The sequence below is a fragment of the Homo sapiens genome, chromosome X, assembly GCF_000001405.40.
Source record: "Homo sapiens chromosome X, GRCh38.p14 Primary Assembly".
Taxonomy (NCBI): domain Eukaryota; kingdom Metazoa; phylum Chordata; class Mammalia; order Primates; family Hominidae; genus Homo; species Homo sapiens.
The window spans coordinates 122,386,735-122,389,705 of record NC_000023.11 but is presented as its reverse complement, the minus strand read 5'-3'; the positions used below and the strand labels follow the sequence as shown (position 1 = coordinate 122,389,705).

General features: G+C 41.2%; 1 annotated feature.

The window, feature by feature from the left end:
* Positions 923 to 1,123: a silencer, noted in NCBI's record as "peak7420 fragment used in MPRA reporter construct". NCBI's record gives its function as "represses an SCP1 promoter by STARR-seq MPRAs in K562 erythroleukemia cells {active_cell/tissue: K562}" and the evidence as "EXISTENCE:reporter gene assay evidence [ECO:0000049][PMID:32103011]".

Here is a 2,971-nt window from a genome sequence, read left to right as displayed (position 1 = left end):
AAATACTCAACATCACTGATCATCAGGCAAATGAAAATTAGAACCACAGTGAAATATAACCTCATGCTGGATGAAATGACTTTTATAAAAAGGATGAAAGATAAGTGTTGGCAAGGTTGTGGAGAAAAGGGAACATATCTACACTGTTACTGGGTATGTAAATTAATACAGCCATTATGGAAACAGCATAGAGTTTCTTCAGAAAACTAAAATTAAAATTTTCATATAATCTAACAATCTTCTTGATAGATATCTTCTGGAATTAAATTCAGTATGTCAAAGAGATATAAATGAGAGGTGACAACGTGCTAGCAGCCCTCGCTCCCTCTCAGCACCTCCTTGGCCTCTGCGTCCACTCTGGCCATGCTGGAGGAGCCCTTCAGCCCGGCTGTGCTATGAGGGCCCCTCTCTGGGGCTGGCCGAGGCCAGAGCTGGCTCCCTCTGCTCTTGGGGAAGTGTGAAGAGAGAGGTGTGGACAGGAACCGGGGCTGCGTGCAGCGCTCGTGGGCTGGCACGGGTTCCAGGTGAGTGTGGGCTCGGCAAGCTCCGCACTTGACGTGGCTGGCTGGCGCCTGCTGGGCTTGATCGGAGGCTGAATCCCATGCGTGGACCACCGTTCCCTCTTCGTGGGATCCTTGGCCACGATAGCAGGTCTCCTCCCTCTCTTTCTCTTTCTGGCTTCCCCTCATTTCCTCTTGATTGTCTGGGACGAGCTCCCTCTGGGCTGCTGGAGTGCCTGGGCTGGGTGCGGCAAAGTCCTGTGGGGAGTGCCAGTGAGAGGTGAAGCTGGCTGGGCTTCTGGGACAGGTGGGGACTTGGAGAACTTTTCTGCCTAGCTAAAGGATTGTAAATGCACCCATCAGCACTCTGTGTCTAGCTAAACGTTTGTAAACACACCAATCAGTGCTCTGTGTCTAGCTAATCGGGTGGGGACTTGGATAACTTTTGTGTCTAGCTAAAGGATTGTAAACGCACCAGTCAGCACTTTGTCAAAAGGGACCAAGCAGCTCTGTGTAAAACAGACCAATCAGCTCTCTGAAAAATGGACCAATCAGCAGGATGTGGGTGGGGCCAGATAAGGGAATAAAAGCAGGCCACCCGAGCCAGCAGTGGCAACTGGCTTGGGCCCCCTTCCATGCGGTGGAAGCTTTGTTCTTTCGCTTTTTGCAATAAATCTTGCTGCTGCTCACTCTGGGTCCTCACTGCGTTTATGAGCTGTAACACTCACTGCGAAGGTCTGCAGCTTCACTCCTGAAGTCAGCGAGACCACAAATTCACCAGGAGGAACAAACAACTCTGGACACACTGCCTTTAAGAGCTGTAACACTCACCAGGAAGGTCTACAGCTTCACTCCTGAAGCCAGCGAGACCACGAACCCACCAGAAGGAAGAAACTGCAGACATGTCCGAACATCAGAAGGAACAAACTCTGGACACACCATCTTTAAGAACTGTAACACTCACCGCGAGGGTCCACGGCTTCATTCTTGAAGTCAGGGAGACCAAGAACCCACCAATTCTGGACACGTAAATACACCCAAGTTTATTGAGCATTAATCACAATGCAAATGCACTTCATGCCACAAAACTGTATACTTAAAATGGTTATAATGGTGAATATTATGTCATGTATATTTTACTACAGTTTTAAAAGTAAAACTATTTTATAATCGCTATGATATCATTGATGATGAATAATACGCATTTATTTTCTGTTTCATCTGTTTCCATATTTATTATTTCCTTCCAATTTATAATGGTTTATTTTTTGTTCTGTTTTCTATCTTTTGTTAATGAATGCTTTAGTCATTTCCTCATCTATTTTCAGTGTTTCTTGTTTTCTAACAAATAGTAGCTGTAGGTTTTCTGAGTAAAGTTTTACTGAAACTCATAGATTTTACTCTCAAGATGAATACAAAATAAATATGTTATTCTGTGGAAGTTAACATAAAACTAAGTGCTGTGTCAAATAAATCTCAGGATTTGTGTGATTTGGCACAATAGAATTTCACTTCTCAATTATTTATCAGTCCAATCTGGGTTTATGTTCATAGCTGTCAGGTGTTCCTCATTGATGACACTTAGTTCTAAAATTCAATTTAACCTAGAGTTTTTGTGTTGAATTTCTCTTGCCATCAATGTGAGTTGTGTCTCTAGAAGTTTTGCACAATACGGTCCTAATTCACCATATTCTTTATGAGTGCCTATTATTTGAAGGATACAGTACTGGGCACTATGAATATTTGAAGGTGAAAGACCACGGCTCCTGCCTGTATTTAATGAGAAAGGCATACATGGGTTTGCGACTTCCGAGTTTTGGAACTTAATATCTATATGGCTTGAAGCATGTTCTTTCATTTGTTCATATGAATCAGAATCACTTTATGTAAAAAGCATAATAACAGTACTTACTATAGGGTCTATAGGAACACTTAGCTCATCGTATGCTTTAATACAATTATTAATATTTTAGTTATTATATACATTGCTTACATAAGCATAGATGTCCTCAGAAAATTTCATTTTGCAATTTGTAAAGAAAGATATATAACTAGTGACTATTTTCAGACAATAATTTATGAAATTTCTAAAAATTACTAAACTTTTAGCTCAGAAGTAAAGTTCTTTCCATGATTCTGAGGTCACATTGGATTAAATCCCAAGACTCCTTCACAATGATACATTCATTCTGACAGAAGAAAAAACTAGAAATTTGGCGAGGGAAGGTAAAAAGGGAGAAATAAGTCTACCTAATTACGGACAATAAAAAAATCAATTAGTTGAAGACTATAGTTACAAAGGATGAACTCTTTTCTGCCATCTCATCTCAATTAAGATGCAGCATGGGAGGGAGAGCCTGATGACAATACCATCACAGTGAAGAAGAAGCAAGTAAAAGAGCAGGGTAAACAATCTGACACAAACAAATGCTGAAAACTTTGTTTCTCTCTCCTGAAAACTTTGAAACTCA